Source organism: Homo sapiens, chromosome 11 (genome assembly GCF_000001405.40).
Source record: "Homo sapiens chromosome 11, GRCh38.p14 Primary Assembly".
In the NCBI taxonomy this organism is placed as follows: domain Eukaryota; kingdom Metazoa; phylum Chordata; class Mammalia; order Primates; family Hominidae; genus Homo; species Homo sapiens.
In genome coordinates, this window is record NC_000011.10 from 120,314,696 (window position 1) to 120,335,592 (window position 20,897).

General features: G+C 43.7%; 2 protein-coding genes across 16 annotated transcripts in view, besides 5 other annotated features; both read left to right on the forward strand.

Moving 5' to 3' along the window:
- The window catches only part of POU2F3 (POU class 2 homeobox 3), an 83,308-nt gene extending 78,058 nt beyond the window's left edge, over positions 1-5,250 (forward strand). For 8 of the 9 annotated variants that reach the window (NM_001244682.2, XM_011542739.3, XM_011542742.4 and 5 more), the window contains 3 exons: positions 666-732; positions 2,534-2,669; positions 3,658-5,250. In NM_001244682.2, the coding sequence (NP_001231611.1) occupies positions 666-732; positions 2,534-2,669; positions 3,658-3,697 (243 nt within the window). In that variant the 3' untranslated portion in view covers positions 3,698-5,250. Of the gene's footprint in view, positions 1-665; positions 733-2,533; positions 2,670-3,657 lie in introns of those variants that run through there. The other variant, XM_017017487.2, reaches the window with a different exon arrangement.
- Positions 8,017-8,176: a silencer, noted in NCBI's record as "fragment chr11:120193421-120193580 (GRCh37/hg19 assembly coordinates)". NCBI's record gives its function as "represses an EF-1alpha promoter that drives an FKBP-Casp9 reporter gene in an ReSE screen in HepG2 liver carcinoma cells {active_cell/tissue: HepG2}" and the evidence as "EXISTENCE:reporter gene assay evidence [ECO:0000049][PMID:32094911]".
- Positions 10,213-10,357: an enhancer, noted in NCBI's record as "145 bp 11:120195689 sequence used in MPRA reporter constructs". NCBI's record gives its function as "activates a minimal TATA-containing promoter with rs61898347 allelic activity by MPRAs in C283T melanocytes {active_cell/tissue: C283T}" and the evidence as "EXISTENCE:reporter gene assay evidence [ECO:0000049][PMID:36423637]".
- Position 10,285: a transcriptional cis regulatory region, noted in NCBI's record as "rs61898347 or 11:120195689 MPRA-significant variant associated with a GWAS melanoma risk locus at 11q23.3". NCBI's record gives its function as "allelic transcriptional activity by MPRAs in C283T melanocytes {active_cell/tissue: C283T}" and the evidence as "EXISTENCE:reporter gene assay evidence [ECO:0000049][PMID:36423637]".
- Positions 10,549-10,838: a silencer, noted in NCBI's record as "silent region_3989". NCBI's record gives its function as "represses an Ori minimal core promoter by ATAC-STARR-seq in GM12878 lymphoblastoid cells {active_cell/tissue: GM12878}" and the evidence as "EXISTENCE:reporter gene assay evidence [ECO:0000049][PMID:35858748]".
- Positions 10,604-18,991, forward strand: TLCD5 (TLC domain containing 5). Of its 7 annotated transcripts, none has more exons than NM_174926.3 (4): positions 10,604-10,673; positions 12,427-12,945; positions 15,282-15,354; positions 15,712-18,991. In NM_174926.3, the coding sequence occupies exons 2-4, from the start codon at positions 12,681-12,683 to the stop codon at positions 15,818-15,820; spliced, it is 447 nt and encodes a 148-aa protein (NP_777586.1). In that variant the 5' UTR covers positions 10,604-10,673; positions 12,427-12,680; the 3' UTR covers positions 15,821-18,991. The 7 variants fall into 7 exon arrangements, with proteins under 7 accessions (NP_777586.1, NP_001185603.1, NP_001185599.1 ...); NM_001198674.2 differs by having other exon boundaries at positions 12,746-12,945; NM_001198670.2 differs by having other exon boundaries at positions 15,282-18,991.
- Positions 10,909-10,968: a silencer, noted in NCBI's record as "silent region_3990". NCBI's record gives its function as "represses an Ori minimal core promoter by ATAC-STARR-seq in GM12878 lymphoblastoid cells {active_cell/tissue: GM12878}" and the evidence as "EXISTENCE:reporter gene assay evidence [ECO:0000049][PMID:35858748]".

Here is a 20,897-nt window from a genome sequence, read left to right on the forward strand (position 1 = left end):
TGTTCTAGGATAGTAACAGTGAGGGGGAGGTTCCTGAATTGCATGGGAGGGTAAACAAAGTTATCCCAGGTCCCTTTCTAATCTCAGAGCTGATGATGCTATGAGGTCTCCAGGGCAAAATAAAAAGCTTCAGAGACCAAAGTTCAGTGCCTCCAGTCACCTCTGGAGAGTCCATGCTCCATTCATCCATCACAGTGGGAAAGCCTGCGAGAGGCTGCTAGGCTGAGCAACCCTGCTGTCCTCAGCAAAAGCAGGGTTCTTTTAGGGAAAAAGCAATGGAGACCAGAAAATGACAGGCAACCAGCAGTATCTGCCACAGCAGGGCCCAAGAGGCTTGTCTTGCTCACCTCCAGGGCTCTCAGGCAAGGCAGCCTTCGGCTTGGCAGTGTCAAAGAAACCTTATCAGGCAATACACATTGTCAGGGGCTGGAGGGCCCTGGTGTTGACACCAGGGAACTTCCGGGGCAGACTGGACCTGGTTCTGGATGCCAGTATGTGGTCCAGAGGCCTTCCCATAGAAAGGAGGATGGCATGTAGGCTAGGAAATCACCAAGGAAGCCAAGCCCTGGTCTCTGTAGAGTCTGGGGCCTACTGTCTTTGGAGAGTGATCTGAAGTTGGAGAAGGGAGCAGAAATGGACATTTACAAGCTTCTGTTGTTTTTCAGGTATCTCCCTCAGGGTCTCTGGGCCCCCTCTCTGTCCCTCCTGTCCACAGTACCATGCCTGGAACAGGTGAGCTTTAAAATGAGATTTCTGAAGAACACCAGAATTCTTTTAAAAAATGGGATATTAGAACTGAAAGGTATCTACCTAAGTCAGGCTTCCCTAAATGCATTTCAAAGGATATTAAAATCTGTGTTGGGAAAAAAGGGTTCTGTGATCAAATAAGTCTGGAAAATGCTGAGGAAGCCCAGTTTAAACAAGCGAATTGTTTTGTTTTGTTTTGCTTTAACTGCAGCACTTCTAAGCACTTAGGTGCATAAAATTCCAAAATGAACTGTGTGGAAGGCCCAGGGGAGGCAAGGCTTCCCAAAGTAATACTCTAGTCCTCAAAAAGCACCTAATTATTTCAACGCACTAGACAGGATGATCGCATGCCCAAGGGTGGCCAGGACAGTCCCAGTGTCTGCTTCATGTCCTGACATAATTATCAATAGCACTTCCTTCCACTTTTTTTTTTTTTTTTTTTTTTTTGAGACAGAGTTTCACCCTTGTTGCCCAGGCTGCAGTGCAATGGCACGATCTCAGCTCACCACACCCTCTGCCTCCCAGGTTCAAGCAATTCTTCTGCCACAGCCTCCCGAGTAACTGGGATTACAGGCGTGTGCCACCACGCTCGGCTGATTTTTTGTATTTTTAGTAGAGACAGGGTTTCTCCATGTTGGTCAGGCTGGTCTTGAACTCCTGACCTCAAGTGATCTGCCCGCCTCGGCCTCCCAAAGTGCTGGGATTACAGGCGTGAGCCACCGCACTCAGCCCCTTCCACTTTTCAAAGTGTCTTAGGGTCTTAGTTTGGATGGTAAAATATATGTCACCCTATCCATAGAACACAGTTTGGGAAACACAAACACAAGAGTTAATCCAAATACAAATCTGCCATTTCACAGAGGATGAAAATAAGTTTCAGGAAAGTGAAACAAATCAGCACAGGCCACAGAGCTGCTGAGTTGATGGCTGGGGACCAAGACAGGGCTCAGGTCCCCTCACTCCCAGTTCATTGTTCTTTTTGTTTTTGTTTTGTTTTGTTTTTTGAGACAGCGTCTTGCTCTGTTGCCCAGGCAATGTGGTGACACAATCATGGCTAACTGCAGCCTCGACCTCCCAGGCTCAAGTGATCCTCCCACCTCAGCCTCCTGAGTAGCTGAGACTACAGGTGCATGTCATCACACCTGGCTAATTTTTGTATTTTTTGCAGAGACTGGGTTTCGCCATGTTGCCCAGGTTGATCTTGAATTCCTGGGCTTAATCGGCCCTCCTGCCTCAGCCTCCCAAAAGTGTTGGGCTACAGGCATGAGCCACCATGCCCAGTTCAGTTCATTACTCTAGTTTCTAGAAAACCAAGCACCTTTTCTTTGTGGAGACTGGAGAACTAGAGCAGCTGGCAATCTTTCATCGTGCCCTCAAGTTCTCTTTCTCCCCTATGCACTTGCCTTTCTTTCCTCCTCTCTTCCTTCTTGTTCTTTTTCTCCTACCGCCTCTTGGTCTGGGGCTGCATGTGCCCAGCCTAGGGTGTGTCCTAGAGTAGGATGATTTTGGCATCTGTCCTTGGATTTGGCAAGTCTTAGACTTGCAGAACCAGCCACACCACTCTCCAGGGCCTGGGCTGCAGAGAGCATTTGTGACGACAGCCCCTCTGGGTGTGGGCAGAAGTTGATGCTAATGAGGCAGGAGGTAGTCAGGTGGGTGTGGCTAGGGAGAGGGTGAGGTCCCTTTGGGGATACACCAGGAAATTTGTGTCTGAGGGGCTATGTCCCGATGTCCCGGGATCCAGCAGCATTATTTCCCCCTTGTTTTTGCCTCTCCTTATCCTCAGTAACGTCATCCTGTTCCCCTGGGAACAACAGCAGGCCTTCATCTCCTGGCTCAGGACTCCACGCCAGCAGCCCCACTGCATCTCAAAATAACTCCAAAGCAGCAGTGAACTCCGCCTCCAGTTTTAACTCTTCAGGGTAAGGTGAAGGGGACGGTGCAGAGACATCCCAGCAGGGCCAAGGGACATGTGAGAAGCTGAGCCTATGCCTTGGGAAAGAAAGCTTGTCATAGAAAGGGTTGGAAAAGAGGAATGGGGTGGCACAGAGAGGACAGAGTGACAGCCAGACTGGACTTTATCCCTAGGGAGTGGAGATTTTAAAAAGAAGCTTCAGTCAGTGAGCCATCCTGGCAAGGAGCTGATGTCAACAAAGTCAAAATTTCCATCCTTACTTTGAGGGTGGAAATTTCCAAACACTCATGTCAGAAAGAGCCAGGTCCTTTGCTGGGCTTCATGGGAACCCAGTTCTCAGGAGGTTCTGATGTGAGCCCAGAGCTTAGGCACAAAGAAAACCCTGGGCTTCAAACATGGCTGACACAGGGAAAGGGGGAAGTGGTGCCAATTCCTGTCTCCCACTCCCAGCTGGGATGCAGTGGGGCAGGCAGCCTCCTGGGCTTCAGTTCATGAAGCAAAGAATCTACTCTAAAAAGTATTCTCAGAGCTGATGCCTTGTGAAAGAGAGATTCTGCCCTGATTCAGAACAACACAGAGATGTGTAGGTTACAGACCTGAGTTCGTCAGAAAAGATGAACCCAGCTGTCCAAATCCAGGCGGTTCAGCAAGGCAGCCAGTTCTTATTGGCCAATTGTTGCATAGCCCGAAACGTTGGCGCTCCTCACCTACCCCTACTGAGAGAGAGAAAGAGGACCATATAATATACATTACCAGCTTTAAAAAATTGTTTCGAGGTATAATTCATATACCATAAAATTCACCGTTTTAAAGTGTGCAGTTCAGTGGTTTTTAGTATATTCACAAGGTTGTGCAACCATCAGCGTTATCTAATTCCAGGATGTTTTTATTACTCCTACCTGCAAAAGCCCCTGTACCTGCTAGCAGTCACTCCCCATTCCCATCTTACGCCATCACATTATTAGCTTTAGGATTGACTTCTTTCTTCCTTCCAGATCTTGGTACCGATGGAATCATTCCACCTACCTCCACTGAGACCAAAAAGTTTCTCCTACTCCAGCTGGCCCTGTATTCCCCCTGGAAGGAAGGGAATCATGCCTTCTATATACAGACAGATTGCCTTCAGAAGAGTGGAAGAAAATCTCCACTATCAATGAACCCAGACTCTTGTCTTCTTCAAGAGCAAGGGCCTCCGGAGATCCAAACTGTGATTGAACCAAGTGCAGACTCCTAATGCTCTTGAAATACACAGCCCCTCCTAGGAGCTTACCATTTTCACCTTCCTTGCCTATGCCCTTGCCTTCTAGTTCCAAATATTTTAGCCAGCTTCACTGTGGCAATAGTCTTTCAGAGAAAAGACTTCTTGCTGTTATTCTCCAACTCATCCGTGGGCTTCTGGGGACAGCCATTTGGCTGGGGTGCCAAACACCAGAAGGGGAGATAATAGTTTTGACTCTGAACTTGGCCACAACCCCTGAACTGATCCCAAAATCTGTGAAAAGATTTGAATCTGATATCTCCACCAAAGCCTTGATGTTTTCTCTGTACAGCTAAGTTTTCTGATGGAATCTTCATCTCACCCCATTTTCTTTTTAACCTCGCCCCCTTTTCTACAATCAAATCCATTCATTATTGCGCCCTCCAGGTCCCCTCCTTTTTGCAGAAGGTGTAAAAGAGCTGCCCTTGGTGGGTGCCCTGGGCATGTTGCAACGCCTGCTGGTGCCCTTCTGTCTGTCCACGTCTGCCTAGGGCTCAGGAGTGCTTGTTCTTTCCCTTCCTCCCTGTGTTTCTCTTTATCCTGTCCCCTCTCCTTTCTCCTGGCAGCAGAAAAGGAAGAACACAAGAGCAAACACACAACAATGATGGTGGCAAAGTACCTGTATATAGCCCTTTCCCATTTTTTGCATTATGTTCTTAACTCCTTAATGTGGAATTTTCCAGCAAAATGTTTAACTCAGGTGTGATTTTTGAAAATGTCTCTGTAATATTTTATCTTCTTTAAAAAAAAGGGGGGGAAATACCAAAGTGTGAAATACTGTGCTACCTTCCAGAGTTCCCACATGGGCTGGGATTTTTTTTTCTTTTTCTTTTTTTTTTTTTTTTTTGAGACAGTCTTGCTCCAGCCCAGGCTGGAGTGCAGTGGCATGATCTTGGCTCACTGCATGCTCTGCCACTTGGGTTCAAGCGATTCTCCTGCCTCAGCCTCTCAAGTAGCGGGATTACAGGCGCCCACCACCAAAAATTAGCCCAGCTAATTTTTGTATTTTTAGTAGAGATGGGGTTTCACCATGTTGGTCAGGCTGGTCTTGAACTCCTGACCTCCTGATCCACCCACCTCAGCGTCCCGAAGTGCTGGGATTACAGGTGTGAGCCACCGCGCCTGGCCTGGGCTGGGAATCTTTGTTGACTTCTTTGGGAACATTATCTCTAGAGTCTGCTTTTTTGTGGGCCAGTTTGTAGAGATGTAACATGAAGCCATTCCAGAAATGGTAACTTAAAAAAAAAAAGACTACATGTCTAGGAAACTGTTGAGATTCAAAGGAATCTCACTGTTCCTAAATAAATGTGTATAGTGATTATGAAAAGTATCCCACTGTTGATAAGAAGAGGTTTAGATTCTTGTTCTGTGCCTTTTTGTTGTTGTGGGGGGCATGTGAGTGCATATAATGAAATGGGATGACAGAAAATGTTTCAAATTGGGACATTAAGTGTATTACTCCCCAAACTGATGCTAAAGATGACATATGTTATTACAGGGCCCTGAAGAATTCAGAGTTGTTACTCTCTGTAACATAACTACCTTGAGGGCAGAGTAGGCCAGAGATATTGTAAGTGGGAGGATGGTGAATGTTTAAGGTGAAGTCATTTGAAACTTAAGAGGTGGGGACTGAGGCTAATGTCTCATGTCTCAGATACCCTGAACGGCAGTTGTTCATTACTCACAACATAAAGCAATAAATAGTTAAGGCAGAGGGTAATTTAATAATCACATATTAGCTGGGCTTGGTGGTGTATGCCTGTAGTCCCAGCTACTGAAGAGCCTGAGATGGGAGGATCTATTAAGCCCAGGAAGTCAAGGCTGCAGTGAGCAATGATCATGCCGCTGCACTCCAGCCTGAACAACAGAGTGAGACCCTGTCTCAAATATACATATTTGTCTCATGTATATATATATATATATATATATATATATATATATATATATGGCTTCAGAATGCATTGTGACTTTTGGTTAGGAGGTTGAAAGGCAGCAAACCTATTCTTGTGTTTTTTCTTAGATTAATACAAATTTAAATAGTTACCGTTGGAGCCTGCAGTGAGCCAAGATTGTGCCACTGCACTCCGGCCTGGGCGACAGAGCGAGACTCCGTCTCAAAAAATAAAATAAGTAATAAATAGTTACCATTACTGAGATAAACGCTGACCTGTGGGAAAGAGAGGCCCTTCAAAAATGTAATGGCTGATGGGGAAAAACTAAAATTAGGATTAAACACTTCTTGCAAATAATAATATCCACACAGGAAACCTAAATATTAATAATGAAGAGTTAACCGCTCCCTGATGTTTGAATGGGGCTTTAAAAATTCCTATTTCACGTCATGAAGTGGGAGAAGGCCTAATGGTAATGTTTACTTTCTCAAGAAAATATCTAGTTAAAAGGGGCCAGGTATGTAGCAAAGAGACAGCAAGAGGAGCCTTCCGCAGTACTTTAAGTAACTAAGGGGACTGCTCCACCACCCATGAGCCCATCTGTGCATATCTCTGCACACATACACATGCATGCATGCATTCCTCCCTGTATGCCCATGGATGCTAGAGCTGACCCTTTTCTACAGAAGTCCTGGCTACCTTGACATCCTACTCAGGTGAGTGCTGAAAGCTGATCCTCTGCATTGTCCAAAACTTGGATTTTCATCCATTTGCCCGTGATTTTTTATGAAAGAAATAAACAGAATTGTAGCCTGTTCAGACTCCAGTAGCTTTCCTTGCCAACTAACTTGGACATTGCTGAACAGAATCAAGCCTGAAAGTGAGCAAGGTCACCTTTCATGTCTGCATGATTCTGTAAAATCTGTAATTCCAGGGAAGTTTAACTGAAGCTTGATTCGCCGCCTCAGCATCTAACTAGGGACAAGAGAATCTGAGGGCAACCACCAGTCATTGCCAAGGGAGGAAAAAAAAAAGATTGTTGTTGCTACATTTCAAATTGTATTTTTTTTTTTTTTGACATGGTGTCTCACTCTGTCACCCAGGCTGGAGTGCAGTGGCACGATCTCGGCTCACTGCAATCTCCGCCCCCCAGATTCACGCCATTCTCCTGCCTCAGCCTCCTGAGTAGCTGGGACTACAGGCGCCCGCCACCACGCCCAGCTAATTTTTTCTATTTTTCAGTAGAGACGGGATTTCACCATGTTAGCCAGGATGGTCTCGATCTCCTGACCGCGTGATCCGCCTGCCTTGGCCTCCGAAAGTGCTGGGATTACAGGCGTGAGCCACCGCGCCCAACCGAACTGTATTTCATACTCTGATGTTTAGTTGACTCAAAACGGGTGGGCCCAGCTCTGCCCTCCTAAGACAAAGTAAGAACTTTTGGTCTGACTCAGAGACTGAGTTTATTAACCCTAGGACTCAAAGCAGGAACCCTGGCCGGAGCTCCCAGGTTGCCAGGGTTCCTCTTGTGCTCTGTGTGGCCCCACCATAGCTCACCTGCTGACTCTTCTGCCTCTTCCTTCTGTGGGGGGAACTCCTTGCAGTTGAGGCTTTTTTTTTTTTTTTCTGTATCCCTGTGGCTAACATTGTGACTAGCACATAACAGGCAGTTATGTTTTTTAAATATAAAATTCCCTTTTTTTCCCTCTAAATTTTTAATGCCCTTCACTGAGATAGGAGTTGTGAATACAGCAGAATACAGTGCAAACCTGCAGGAATTTTTAGGTAAGTGGAGGCAGCATATCACAGTGGTTAAGGGCATTGTCATGCCAGACCCCTATTGACTTCAGGAGGGATAGCACCAGATTCAAGAGGCCAGAGACCAAGAGCCAACAAATGCGACATAGGGTTTGTTGAGGGGAACTTACATAAGAGGGATCCGGTGGCAACAGGCTGGACAGGAGAACCACCACTGCCTGCAGAAAGCACGCAGTTTACATGGCACTCTCATCTAACACCCTCCCGCTAACAACCTCCACCTGGCAACCTTCATTTACCCCAAAACAAAGGGCCTCAGCCCCCTGTATGGCCCATGTTCCAAGGGCTGGGCCAGGGGCTCAGATGTTCCTCATACATAAGGAATAATCTCTGGGTTGGCCACGCTTGGAACACTAGACACACATTCAGGTGTGTCTGCCACACAGGGTCATTCTCAGGTTATACTTAAGTTACCGCTGTCAGGTGCATCTGCCATACAGGCGTGATCTCCAGAGTCATATTGCCTGGGTTTGTACCCTACTCTGCCTCCTACTAACCGTGTCATCTTGGGAAAGCCTTGACTGCTCCATGACTCAGTTTCTCACCTGTAAAATGGAGATAACAATAGGTCCCATCCCATAGAATTGTTTGTGAGGATTGAGTGTGTGTATATATATATGTGTGTGTATGTGTATGCATATATATGTGTGTGTGTGTATACATATATATGTATATGTGTATATATATGTGTGTGTGTGTGTGTATATATATATATATGTAGTGCTTGGAACAATGCCTGGTACATTAATAAGGGCAGTATAGGTGTTATTTGTTATTATTGTGATTATTATTCTCATTGCTATTAAATTGGTGGAGAGCTTCCTGTCCCCTGCTCTCCTTAACAGCCCAGAATTTCTGGGGGATGCTACCGGTGACAAGGATCTGATTTGGTGGAACAGGGATTGTGGCCAAAGATACATACATCAACAAAATTTAATCCTAGGTCATGAAGCTTGAACCTAGAATCCCAGTCACCCTAGGATAAAGGCCCAATATTTTAGGAAGAACTGGCTCCTTCCCTTTTACCTTACCCCCTCAGCCTTTAGGCTCCTGAAGGCTTTAGTACCCTACTTTTGTGGGAAATGATGGCAGCAAGAAGAAAGTCCAGATTCAGATACTAGAAAAAAAATACTGCAACAAAACAAATGGGGGAAAGGGTGAGCTCTGCATACTCTCCATTCAGTGAAGTGGAGCCTTCCATGTTTTACTTCTCCAGACTATCATTACCTGTTATCCGGTCTATCCTAACACATGTGTAACAGGCCTTCTGCAATTCATCTTACACTGATTTTAATTGAGTATTGCTAGAGCTGGGGTTCTCAACTTTGGTTGCACATTGGAATCACCCAGGGAGCTTTTAAATTGATTGATATCTACACAGAGATTCTGATTTACTTTTTTCGGAGTGTGCCCTGGGTATTAGGATTTTAAATAGCTCCCAAGTGATACTACCATGCTATCAAGATTAAGAACTACGACCCAAATGTGTATACGAATCACTGGGGAACTTGTTAAAATGCACATTCTAGTTTGGTAGGTCCAGGGGTAGGTTCTGAGATTCTGAGTCTCTAATGAACTCCAAGGTGATGCAGATTTTGCTGGTCCATAGACCACACTTTGAGTAGCAAGGGCTTGGAGAGCATGATAATATGATTCCCTTGTTCAATAACATCATGAGCTTCCACATAATAAGCTCTCTCAGCCTGGCATCTTAGGCTGGCATCAGAGGCATTTAAGGACTCTAACAGCAATGGTTATCAAATGTGATCGTCTGAATGACTCCTGGGCAGGTTTTAAAAAATACAGATCCCTGGACCCCATACCAGACCTAATAAATCATAATATTCAAGGTACAGCCTGCACAGGGTATTTGAAAACACTTCCCAAGTGGCATAGTTGATCAACACACTTTAGGAACTGTGATATGCTTCCAAGATAGTTTCCCAGGCTCATTTCACATTAATTCAACATACAAACATTTATTGTACCTGCCTCATGCTAGGTACTAGGGAAACAAAGATGAAACCAGTGCCATCCTTACCTTTGAAGAGTTGGTAAGATAAATGACCAAAACTAGAATATTTACTATTCCCCAGGCACGGCCTAAACACTCACACCTCTGCTAACGGTCTTCTCCTTTGAGAATGTCTAGGTTCCTCAGCACCCGGGATTGCCTGTCCTGATCAATCAAGACAGACACCGTCTTTACCCCATTCGAGCCTCCATTCTTATCGCTCAAACTTACTCTGCTTGGTATTAAAATAGAACCAGAGAAGAAAAGGATTTACCCAAAGTGAAATAAAACAGTTGGTATTTATGTAGTGACTTCCATGTGCCAGTCATTGTTCAAAGCACTTTACACATGTAATATTTTAAAATTCTCAAAATAACCATATGAGATAGGTGTTATTACTATCCCCATCCTCAGGATCGAGGAAAGGGAGGCAACAGAAAAGTAACTTGCCCAAAGAGGTACCAAGCAAGGTTCACTTTCAAGCCTTATGCTTTACTGTCAAGTTGGTTACAGGGCTGACTGGAATACTGTAACTTCTAATTCTCAGGCCTGAGCACTTTCCTGCTCATCAATTCCTGTTTCACGACTTAAATTCAAGCACGAGGGCAAGAACGATGTCTTACATCCCCCACAATGCCTAGTAAGGGTGCAAGTACTTAGTAGGTACTCGATAAATTGATTGGATGAGCTGTCCCATTGAGGGGAGGGGAGAAGTGGATAATGATTTAAACAAACAACAACAGCTAAACAAGAGCAGCGGCCTCCAGGTCTCACGTCACCGCTAGATCCCTCTTGACCCCCCCGCCAGAGAAGGAGGACCCTCCCGCGCCCTTTCGGAGCGTCGGTGGCCCGGCTCCGGCTCTGCGCTCCATCCTCCCAGCCAGCAGGTGCCCCCAGACCCCCGGCTCCTCCTCCGCCGCCGTCACAGCCTCGTCCTCCGCCTCTGGCTCCTCCGCTTCCTGTTGCCGCGATCCGGGCCGGGAGCTGCGGGCGCCCGGGCGCCCGAGGCTTCCCGGTGCGCTCCGCCAGGTAACCGCTCGGCGCGAACTGCCCGGCCGGGGTGGGCACGGGGCCCGCGCGGCCCATTGGTGGGGAAGGAGGCGGCAGAGGGCCCGGGCTCGCCTCCGAAGGGGAGCGGGCCTCCTCCTGCCTCGGACGCCCGAGGCCTTCCTGCGCCAGGCTGCGGCGCCAGCGGGATGCGGGGATAACGGTGCCTGGCTCCGGCTCTTGGTCCGGGCGTGGCCGAGCGTCGCAGGCACCGCCGCGCGGAGATGCGATCGCCGTCCCTGCGAGGCCCCGGGGCCCGCGCTCGCCGCCAGCCACGCCTGCTCCAAGGCTCCTCCTCGCCAGTCTGGCCCTGGAACGGGAGAAACCAGGAGAGGAGCCTTGGACCTCTGAGCCGCGATGGCCTTCCAAATGCCCTTCCGTTCTTTGGCAAAAACCAAGAGCAAAAAGCCGAAACCCACACAGGGAGTTCCCAAGGTCACAGAGTTGTGTCTGCCATTTACGAATGTCTGTTCTTTTATTTAAGTGTTTGTAAATGGGCTACTGTTTTCTCTGTTCTGCCAAGGAATTAGGATTCAGAGAAGAAGACTCTAAAAATACTAATAGGCATATCCAAATGAGCTGATCCGCATTACTGGCCAGTGACCCTGGCCTTTAGAAGGAGATAAGGGAGGGCAGTTCTCTTCACCTGGGATACTTTGTATTTCTGGCCCTTACTCTGAGAATTGGCCTTGATGTTTTACAAAGTTTATCTCAGAACTCCATGTCAGAACTGGACCGGACTGTAGAGTTCTTCAGTCCTAGTCTCTTTCTTTCCTTTCCCTTCCTCCCCTTCCTCTTCCTTCTTTTCTTTTCTTTAATTTCTTCTTTTTTTTTTTAACTGTGGTTCTAGAGGTTAAAGTGATTTGCCCACACTCTTATGGCTAGTCTCTCTAGGGACAGAGACAGAATTGGAACCCAGGTCTATTATGGACACCTACGGTTTTCTTGAATGGAAATCTGATTTCAGATGAAAGCTGTACAGAACTTGACCTTCATGAAGCCCTCTCTGGATAGCATTCTTGGGAAGTGGCTTGTGTATTGACGTCCACAGATAACTATTTCACTGGTCAGAATAAGGTTAAGCAATAAGCATAGCCATGCAGAAAATGTCTGCTGAGATGAAGTAGATATCTGATATGTTTTTGACTTTTTATTTGTACGTTTCAATGGAGGAGCTAATGAATACTAACTAATAACAACATCTTGCTCATTTAGATTTTAGTCCTGTGTGACTAAATTGACTCAGTTATAGTTGTTCTTGTCCTAACGTATTTGTCACCAGTAAAAGTTCCAAGGTACAGCTTTCTGGCTTCATTTCATTTTTAACTGAATAATTGCCTTAAGGATATTTTTAGATCTCAACAAAAACTCCCCTCCTCTTGAACCTTAGAATCCTTCTGCTTCACTCTTGGCAAATCTTTGGGTCGGATTTCAGAACTGAATAAAGCCAGGATTTCCCCCCAACCTCCAAGATGTCTGGACTCTTTGTTTAGTTCTGTATTTAAGTTTATCCCAAGTTTTGTTTTTGACTGATGAACCTGTGACCCAAATCCAAACCTCAGCTGAATTTAGTATCAGCTTAAAACCACATTAAACTGCCATGTGTCATGTGACCTCTAGCAGAAACCAACGTGGCAGTGTTCTGTTTTTTCATGAGTGCGTTTCATTGGGGTTTTTGAACTGTGAAGACATTATTTAATACATGTGCTTTATTTTCTGTGTATTATTGCCCAAGGTCAGTCATCGCTAGAGGGTTATTATTGACATTTACTCATCATAAAATGTGATGTCAGCCTACCAGCTCGGAGTGCAGTTCCTGGTTTCCAGTTTACAACATTGACCAGTTGCTAACATGTTATCTCTGAGGAACTTGGAATGATAAATACAGCCATACTTAAATAGAAGATTCTTGGCCGTGTAGATAAGGAAAATAAGATAAGGCAATATTTTTGAACTATTCTATAATAGAAATGAGGATATATACACAAAATGACCCAGTGCTGTTTTCTTAGGGTGCATCCTTTGTTTTTCTGGTTTTGGTCTTTTCATCACAGGATGGCATTAGCTCTGTGTCTGCAGGTGCTGTGCAGCCTGTGTGGCTGGCTCTCGCTCTATATTTCTTTCTGCCACCTGAATAAGCACCGAAGCTATGAGTGGAGCTGCCGCCTGGTCACCTTCACCCATGGAGTCCTCTCTATAGGCCTCTCCGCTTATATTGGCTTCATTGATGGCCCATGGCCTTTTACCCACCCAGGTAGGTAGGGGATTTTCCCTTAGGGATTTATGATTTGGGGGTAGTCTTAGAAGTATGGGACTTTTAAACAGAATTTGTACAATACTGAAGACTAATTCCCATTATAATTTTGTATTGGAATCCTTATTCTTCTTCATTGTTAACTCTGATATTGTTTATGTCACCTGTTGTTTCTGCTTTTCATAACTCTCTACTTTTAAAACAGATTTTAAATTGCTTGTTACAATTTAATTGGAAATACAAAAACTATAAAGCCAGTATCAACATCTTCCACTACCACCCCCGAAAAGACAAAAATAGAACTGTATCATACATATTTTTGGCAACTTGCAACTTTTACTTGACTGTCTATTCAAAAGACAGCATCTTTCCATGTCTATGTTAAGAGGATGAGATGTTCCTTATCCTTTTTGTTACTAGATGTACAAGTGTTACTTTCAGAAGTATGCAATTTTTTTTTTTTTGAGATGGAGTCTTGCTCTGTTGCCCAGGCTGGGGTGCAGTGGCTCAATCTCAGCAAGCTCCGCCTCCCAGGATCACGCCATTCTCCTGCCTCAGCCTCCCGAGTAGCTGGGACTACAGGTGCCCGCCACCATGCCCAGCTAATTTTTTTTGTATTTTTAGTAGAGATGGGGTTTCACTGTGTTAGTCAGGATGGTCTCGATCTCCTGACCTCGTGATCCACCCGCCTTGGCCTCCCAAAGTGCTGGGATTACAGGTGTGAGCCACCGCACCCGGCCAAGTATGCAAAAATTTTACCCCCTTGTATTAATTGGTTGGGGCTGCCATAACACAGTACCACAGAGTGGGTGGCTTAACCAGATGTTCATTTTCTTAAAATTCTAGAGGCTAGAAGTCGGAGTTCAAGTTGTTAGCAGGTTTGGTTTCTTCTGAGGCCTCTGTCCTTGGCTTGCACATGGCCGCTCTCCCACTGTGTCCTTCCATGGTCTCCCCTCTGTGTGTGTGTGTGTGTATGTGTGTGTGTTTGTATATGTATGCATATCTGTGTCCTAATCCCTTCTAAGGATAACAGTCATAGTGTGTGTGTGTGTGTGTGTGTGTGTGTGTATGTTTATGTATGCATACCTGTGTCCTAATCCCTTCTAAGGATAACAGTCATATTGTGTGTGTGTGTGTGCGCGTGTATGTTTGTATATGTATGCATATCTGTGTCCTAATCCCTTCTAAGGATAACAGTCATAGTGTGTGTGTGTGTGTGTGTGTATGTATATGTATGCATATCTGTGTCCTAATCCCTTCTAAGGATAACAGTCATAGTGTGTGTGTGTGTGTGTGTGTGTGTGTTTGTGTATGTTTATGTATGCATATCTGTGTCCTAATCCCTTCTAAGGATAACAGTCATAGTGTGTGTGTGTGTGTATGTGTTTGTATATGTATGCGTATCTGTGTCCTTATCCCTTCTAAGGATAACAGTCATATTGTGTGTGTGTGTGTGTGTGTGTGTGTGTGTATGTATGCATATCTGTGTCCTAATCCCTTTTAAGTATAACAGTCATATTGGATTACTCTAATTACCCCATTTTAACTTGATTACCTCTTTAAAGACCTTATTTTCAAATACACTCACATTCTGAGGTACTACCAGTTAAGGGCTTTAACGTGAATTTGGGGAGGGAGGACACAATGCAGCCCTTAACTCCCCTGGAATATAATTTTTAAAATATTTCTTTAGCTTTTCTTACTGAATTTCTGAGTTTCCCCCCAAACTGTCAAACTAATGAAACCAACTGTTACGCTTTGTGTTTTATGTGAAGATTCTAAATGGTTTCAAATATGTCAGGTCCTTAAAACCTATGTTCCTGGACATGAGCACACACTAACTTTTGGGGCCCTCTCCAGAATCTACTTTCAGGATGGGTTAAGACCACTGAGTGTTCAATAACGTAACCCATTAAGCTGAGAAAAAAATCTGACATTCAGGAAACAATGATTCAAGAGTCTGGAAATAAACCTTTAGCAGAGTAAAAAAAAAAAATAAAGTTTAGGATTTTAATTGAAGGAACAAAATAATTGGATTTTATGCTGTTCCGCGGAGAGGATACTGAGATTATTGCCTGTGTTCATTGAAGGATGCAAACTCATTGAAGTCTGATTCATCAGAACAGCATTTCCTGGGGTCTGAACATCGTTTAGTTTGATAAAGACCTAGATTTTATATTTTAGTCTTTCTTTGGTCCTCATTAAAAAGCATGTGCCTGCTATTGTTTTTGTTTCTTTAGTGTCTAGTAAGGTTTGAAAGACAACAACATAGGATCCCTGTGCAAGGTAACACAATTCCCAGTCACTCAATTTGCTTCTGTCTTGGTTTGTTTCAGGCTCACCCAATACACCTCTCCAAGTTCATGTCCTGTGTCTCACCTTGGGCTACTTCATCTTCGACTTGGGCTGGTGCGTCTACTTTCAGTCTGAGGGTGCCTTGATGCTGGCTCATCACACATTGAGTATCTTGGGCATTATCATGGCCCTTGTGCTTGGGGAGTCTGGCACAGAGGTCAATGCAGTCCTCTTTGGAAGTGAGCTTACCAACCCCTTGCTACAGATGCGCTGGTTTCTCCGGGAAACAGGGCACTATCACAGTTTCACTGGAGATGTAGTGGACTTCCTCTTTGTGGCTCTGTTCACAGGAGTGAGGATTGGTGTGGGAGCTTGCCTCCTTTTCTGTGAAATGGTCTCCCCCACGCCTAAGTGGTTTGTGAAGGCTGGGGGAGTAGCGATGTATGCTGTGTCTTGGTGTTTCATGTTTAGCATCTGGCGCTTTGCATGGAGGAAGAGCATCAAGAAGTACCATGCTTGGAGAAGCAGGCGGAGTGAGGAACGGCAGCTGAAACACAACGGACATCTCAAAATACACTAGCCAAGGCTTGCTCCAGATTATGGATTGGGTTAAGTCAGCCATGGGAACCAGGTTGGAAATATGACTGTTACATAATTACACTTATAACAAACTTAGGTTTCAATAAAGGGCTAAATGTATTGATCAATTTGGTCAGTCTTCAAGCCGAGCATATACCAGTATTAAAACACTAACTTCTACAGTAGCACAGTTGTAGAAAGTGAGAATACTCCATGGTAGTTGGGAATAAGTGAGAACTGTGAAGTGAGTACAACTGGCATTTGTTTTCATTTGTGGTGACCCTGGGTCCTCCTGTCCCTGGGAGGTTTGATGTTCAGGCAGTTTAGAAAGGAACTCGAAAAAGATTAGTGCTATTTCTTGTTCCTTTGAGAAGTAACTCTTTCAATAAACACTTATTTCTGCTTTCCATATAGCAATTTATCTAAGTTTACCCCATTTACTATAAAGTGAGGGGCTTACAGGAAGAGACACGCCTTTGACATTCTGAACATTAGATCGGGGAATTGGGTCGCTTAAACAGAGGGGCATAGGAGGGTGAGAGTGAAACTGGCAGTGAGGGGGAGGGCTACTTACTGAACCTCCTATACCAACTGTGCCAGAGGTGCCCAAGACCACTGCCAGGTTCTGTAATTCTCTGGGAAGACTCAGTGGACTCAGCATATAGTCTTACTTATAGTTTTGATTTATTATAGTGAAAAGATACAAAGAAAAATCGGTAAAAGGAAAAGGCACCTGAGACAAAGTCTAGGGTAAAGCAAGCACAAGTTTCCAGAGTCCTCTCCCAATGGAATCACACAGGATGCACTTAATTCCCCTAGCAGTGATTTGTTACGACATGTGAATGAGTTGTCTACTGGACAAGGTCACTACAGACTCAGTGCCCAAAGTTTTTACTGAGGACAGGTCATCTAGGCAGGCTTTCCCTGGCAGATAGCAAAATTCAAGACTCTCAAAAGGAAAGCAGGTGTTCAGCATAAGCCATATTGTTTGCACAAGCAGTTCAGACACAGTAAGCCAGTCTTATCAGTTAATTGTGGGAGCCCCTCCAAAATCTAAGTTCCCAAATGCCGGCCAGTGGCCAACCCTGTAATCAGGCCTCTCCAAGGATAGCAGTTTAGGCCTGCTATGTTAACTCTTTTCTGCACAAAACCTATAGAGTTAGGGCTTTGGATCTGAGATGAATGAAGTGTGGGTAGATTTACTGAGTCCTGTTATATGGGTTCTGCCCTACCAGGAAAACTATGCCAGTTCTCAGGGCTTTTGTGCATTAATCTCCTAGGCATTTGAGGCTATGACTAAATTCCATAGGGATTTATCATGTGGATTCCACTGTGCTTGAGATGGCAGTTTAGATTTCAGCTCTGCTGTACATATTGCAAACTAGAGCCAAAGACTTTAAAGTGTGTACTGGCCTCAGGGGGATGAGGTTAATTTTTTTTTTTCATTTTAGATACTTTCCCTTTTAGTACTCCTCCTACTTTTCTTATTTTTACTAAAAAGGTACCACTCTATGAACAAACTAATAAAACAAGGCCAGTCTTGGAAGGAAAAAAATAATAATTCTTAGTGTGACAGTCTCCAAGAGAAGCAAGAATATAAGCTTAGAACAAGGGGTTAAGAATCCAGAATTCCTGGGTTCTTTTAACTAATTTTGCTACTCACTTGCCACTTTGGAGAGCTACTCACTCACTTTGGATAGGTTACTTGTTTCTTCTTTGCCTGAGTTTAAACCTATTGTGAATGAATGAAATACCCTGTAGTATATTTCATAAATACATTATGTGGCATTTTATTAATGGAGGTCTTTAATGTAGGGCTTTTATGGAAATATGAAGTATTTATGTATTTATTGATTATTTATTTTTACCATGTTATTGAAGTCAATGGTGTTTGATTAGCTCAGTGGGTGAGCAAGCATATGGTGCTACTGGAGTCAAGGCTGGTCAGTAGGAAGCATCAGTCCATTCCATGGCCACTGGTAATCTAACGTAATGAATGGTGTCTTTTGTTGTTGTTGTTGTTGTTGTTGTTGTTTGAGACAGAGTCTTGCTCTGTCGCCCAGGCTGGAGTGCAGTGGTGTGATCTCAACTCACTGCAACCTCCGCCTTCTGTGTTCAAGTGATTCTCCTGCCTCAGCCTCCCGAGTAGCTGGGACTACAGGCGTGTGCCACCATGCCTGGCTACTTTTTGTATTTTTAGTAGAGACGGGGTTTCACCATGTTGGCCAGGCTGGTCTTGAACTCCTGACTTCATGACCCACCCGCCTCGGCCTCCCAAAGTGCTGGGATTACAGGTGTGAGCCACCGTGCCCAGCCATGAGCGGTCTTGAAAATGAAAAATGGTCTTGGCCACAGAAACCAGGTATGAGGGAGTGGTTGGAATGGTATAAAGTCATCACTGTTAGGGAAACAGTAACTTTAAATGCATGTTAACAGTGGGTCTTTAAAAATGAATGTCATTTGGTTAAAGAGTTTTGCTGGGCATTGAGATAATCTGACAGCATCTCCACTTCCTGTTTTTTTTCTTAATCTCCACTTTTTTTTTTTCTATGATGAGCGCCCCTAAAATGCTGGTAAGCTTCTTTCCAACAAAATTGCGGTCAAAGTAGGATGCTGGGGAATGCTGATTTTAGCAAAAGCTTGTAGAAAAGAGTGGCCTGGCACATGAGCTTAAAAAAAAGAAAAAAAGCTGGCTCTTGAATTTTGGCACAGTGCAACCTGTTCCATACCAGACAAATGAACAGGCTTAATCTGGTACCAATTCTTTTTCTCTCTTACTCCTCAGAAGTGAAGGGACTGCAGATCTTGTTGTTTTGGGGACACTTTCATGGAACTGTATGTAGGTTTTTTTGAATGGTGAGAAATCTGAATAATTGGTAAGGGGAAGGGAATCCCTCATTTCAGCTTTTCTTGATGTTGTTACTAATAACTATGAAAAAACTTCTGAGAGAACAATGTGAACTGAAGATGACTCAGCAGTTAAGACAATGCTAAGTTCTGAAACCACAGGTAAATGAAGGGCTAATTAATGTGTGGTATACTTGGACAAAATGAAGTACTCATTTGCACTGGATTACTGTGTAATGATAACGAACACTGTTCAAGAACGATTTATATTTCCATAAGATTTGTACTAAATTTTATAAAAGTAAAACAACTTTTTATAAACCCAGAGTCTGTCTTTATATTTATGTGGTGGTTTTGCCAAGAAGTTAAAAAAAGCCTTTTGACCTGTAGAAATGTTGACCTGTATTCATACTTACTAGTGAATATCTCTAATCTGCTGTTCATTATCCATCATTCCCCCTATTTTTTTTTATTTTGGGGGGTAACAGTTGACATACACAAAACAGTTTGCCAAAAGAGAGAGGAAGAACCTTAATGTGTTTCTTGTTCTGCCACCTGTTTGGACACTTGTCTTGAAAATGTTGATGTCAAGTGAGTTGACATCAGAGACATCATCTGAAGACAGCTGGAGGCCCTGTCTTGAGGACTGTACTACCAATGCCTAAAACAGTCTGGGATGCATAGTAGATACTTAGTAAGCATGTTGAAAGAATGGACAAGAGGATGAGAATGTGGTTTAGAATCATCCCCATTGGAAAACCTCCTCAAAGGTTTTCCCAGTGGATTGGGTCATCAATGTCATTTTTCTAAGTAAAGTACTACGGACCCTGAGGAGTGTGTTCTACCCAGACTGGCTTGACTTTCTGAAGGCATCCTATAGTTACAGCCTTTAGAACAGTTGAGCTATCGGCAGCTTTAAAGAGGCTTTCAGTTTTTTTTTTTTTTAAATCATTAATGCTTTGTAGGTGACTATAGAGATTTTCATCATTTAAAAAAATTAGTTCTGGAATGAATAACCACTGGCTTAATTCAATCTTTTGCTTACCATCTTCTGAAGCTTTCCCACAGCAAAATGCCTTCTTTGCTCACAGCTAGAACCGTGGGTCTGTTTAAGTTTGGAAAGATCTTGAAAGCAGCTTGCCAAGAGGTTTTGTATGCAAGGAAGAGAAGGTGAATTAGGAAACTTTCCCAGTTTGTTTTATTCCTGAAGCTTAAGTATTGAGGCTTCCCTCAAGTATTAAGGGAAGAGAGGAACTCCAAAATGCATGATTTGATGAGTCATTGGGTTCAATTAATTTTATACTTACACTGTAACATTATTAGGATAGGGGAAAATAAGATATTTAGTACTTTTAAGAAAGATTTATTAAGTTTGGGGATAAGGTTTGCATTTTGGTCAGTATATATATGTATATATGTGTGTATATATATGTGTATATATATGTATATATATGTGTATATATGTATATATGTGTGTATATGTGTATATGTGTGTGTGTGTGTATATATATATATATATATATATATATATATATATATATGAATGGGATTCCTTCCGGTTGCATGTAAACACTCAATTTAAGAGTCTTCAGGGTAGAATTGTCATGCTAGAATACACCAGCAGGTGGCAATGTGTCCTGGTCTCATCATTAGGGAAGTGCCTTGGCTAATCTGCTTCTATTCTTTCCAAAAATAAACATTACAAAATTAGTTGGCTGTGCCTTGAACCTAAAAAATCGAGCAATAAAGAGTCGTCTCTGGTCTCTGTTTATCTTTTCCTTTTTTTCCCCCCCGTTCTAACTAACGTCAGCGTGAGCTCATGCCTCTATTCGGGGATAATGATCCTTTCATGAACTGTTGCGGAATGACTTTTTGCAACAGCATTGTTAAGAGGTAATTGTTTCCTCTCTCCACATCCACTGTTTATTAGATTTGATTTGCTACTTGGATTCCACAAAATGGCTGAAATCCCTTGTCACCAACATAGGTTTAAGCTCAAAAGTCTGAAAATAGTTGGATAAAGGGAATAGCCACTTTGGATGTTTGCAGGCAGAACTGAAGAACTGTATTACATGTGGTACCTAAATTGCCAAAATACTGAATTATTCAATCATAAAACTAGATGGGTATCTAAAGCTCTCTACCCAGTAGGGGAAAAAACCGAAAAACCGTTTGGGAATCCTTCAGAGAGAACCGTAATGCTATTTACTGGATAAATATACTTCATTTTC

Excerpts from the sequence above, each read along its gene's own strand:
- TLCD5 (NM_001198670.2), top strand. The coding sequence starts at position 12,681 with ATGACCCAGTGCTGTTTTCTTAGGGTGCATCCTTTGTTTTTCTGGTTT. Across the intron at positions 12,946-15,281 it reads ATGGCCTTTTACCCACCCAG|GCTCACCCAATACACCTCTC; the intron begins GTAGGTAGGGGA and ends GGTTTGTTTCAG.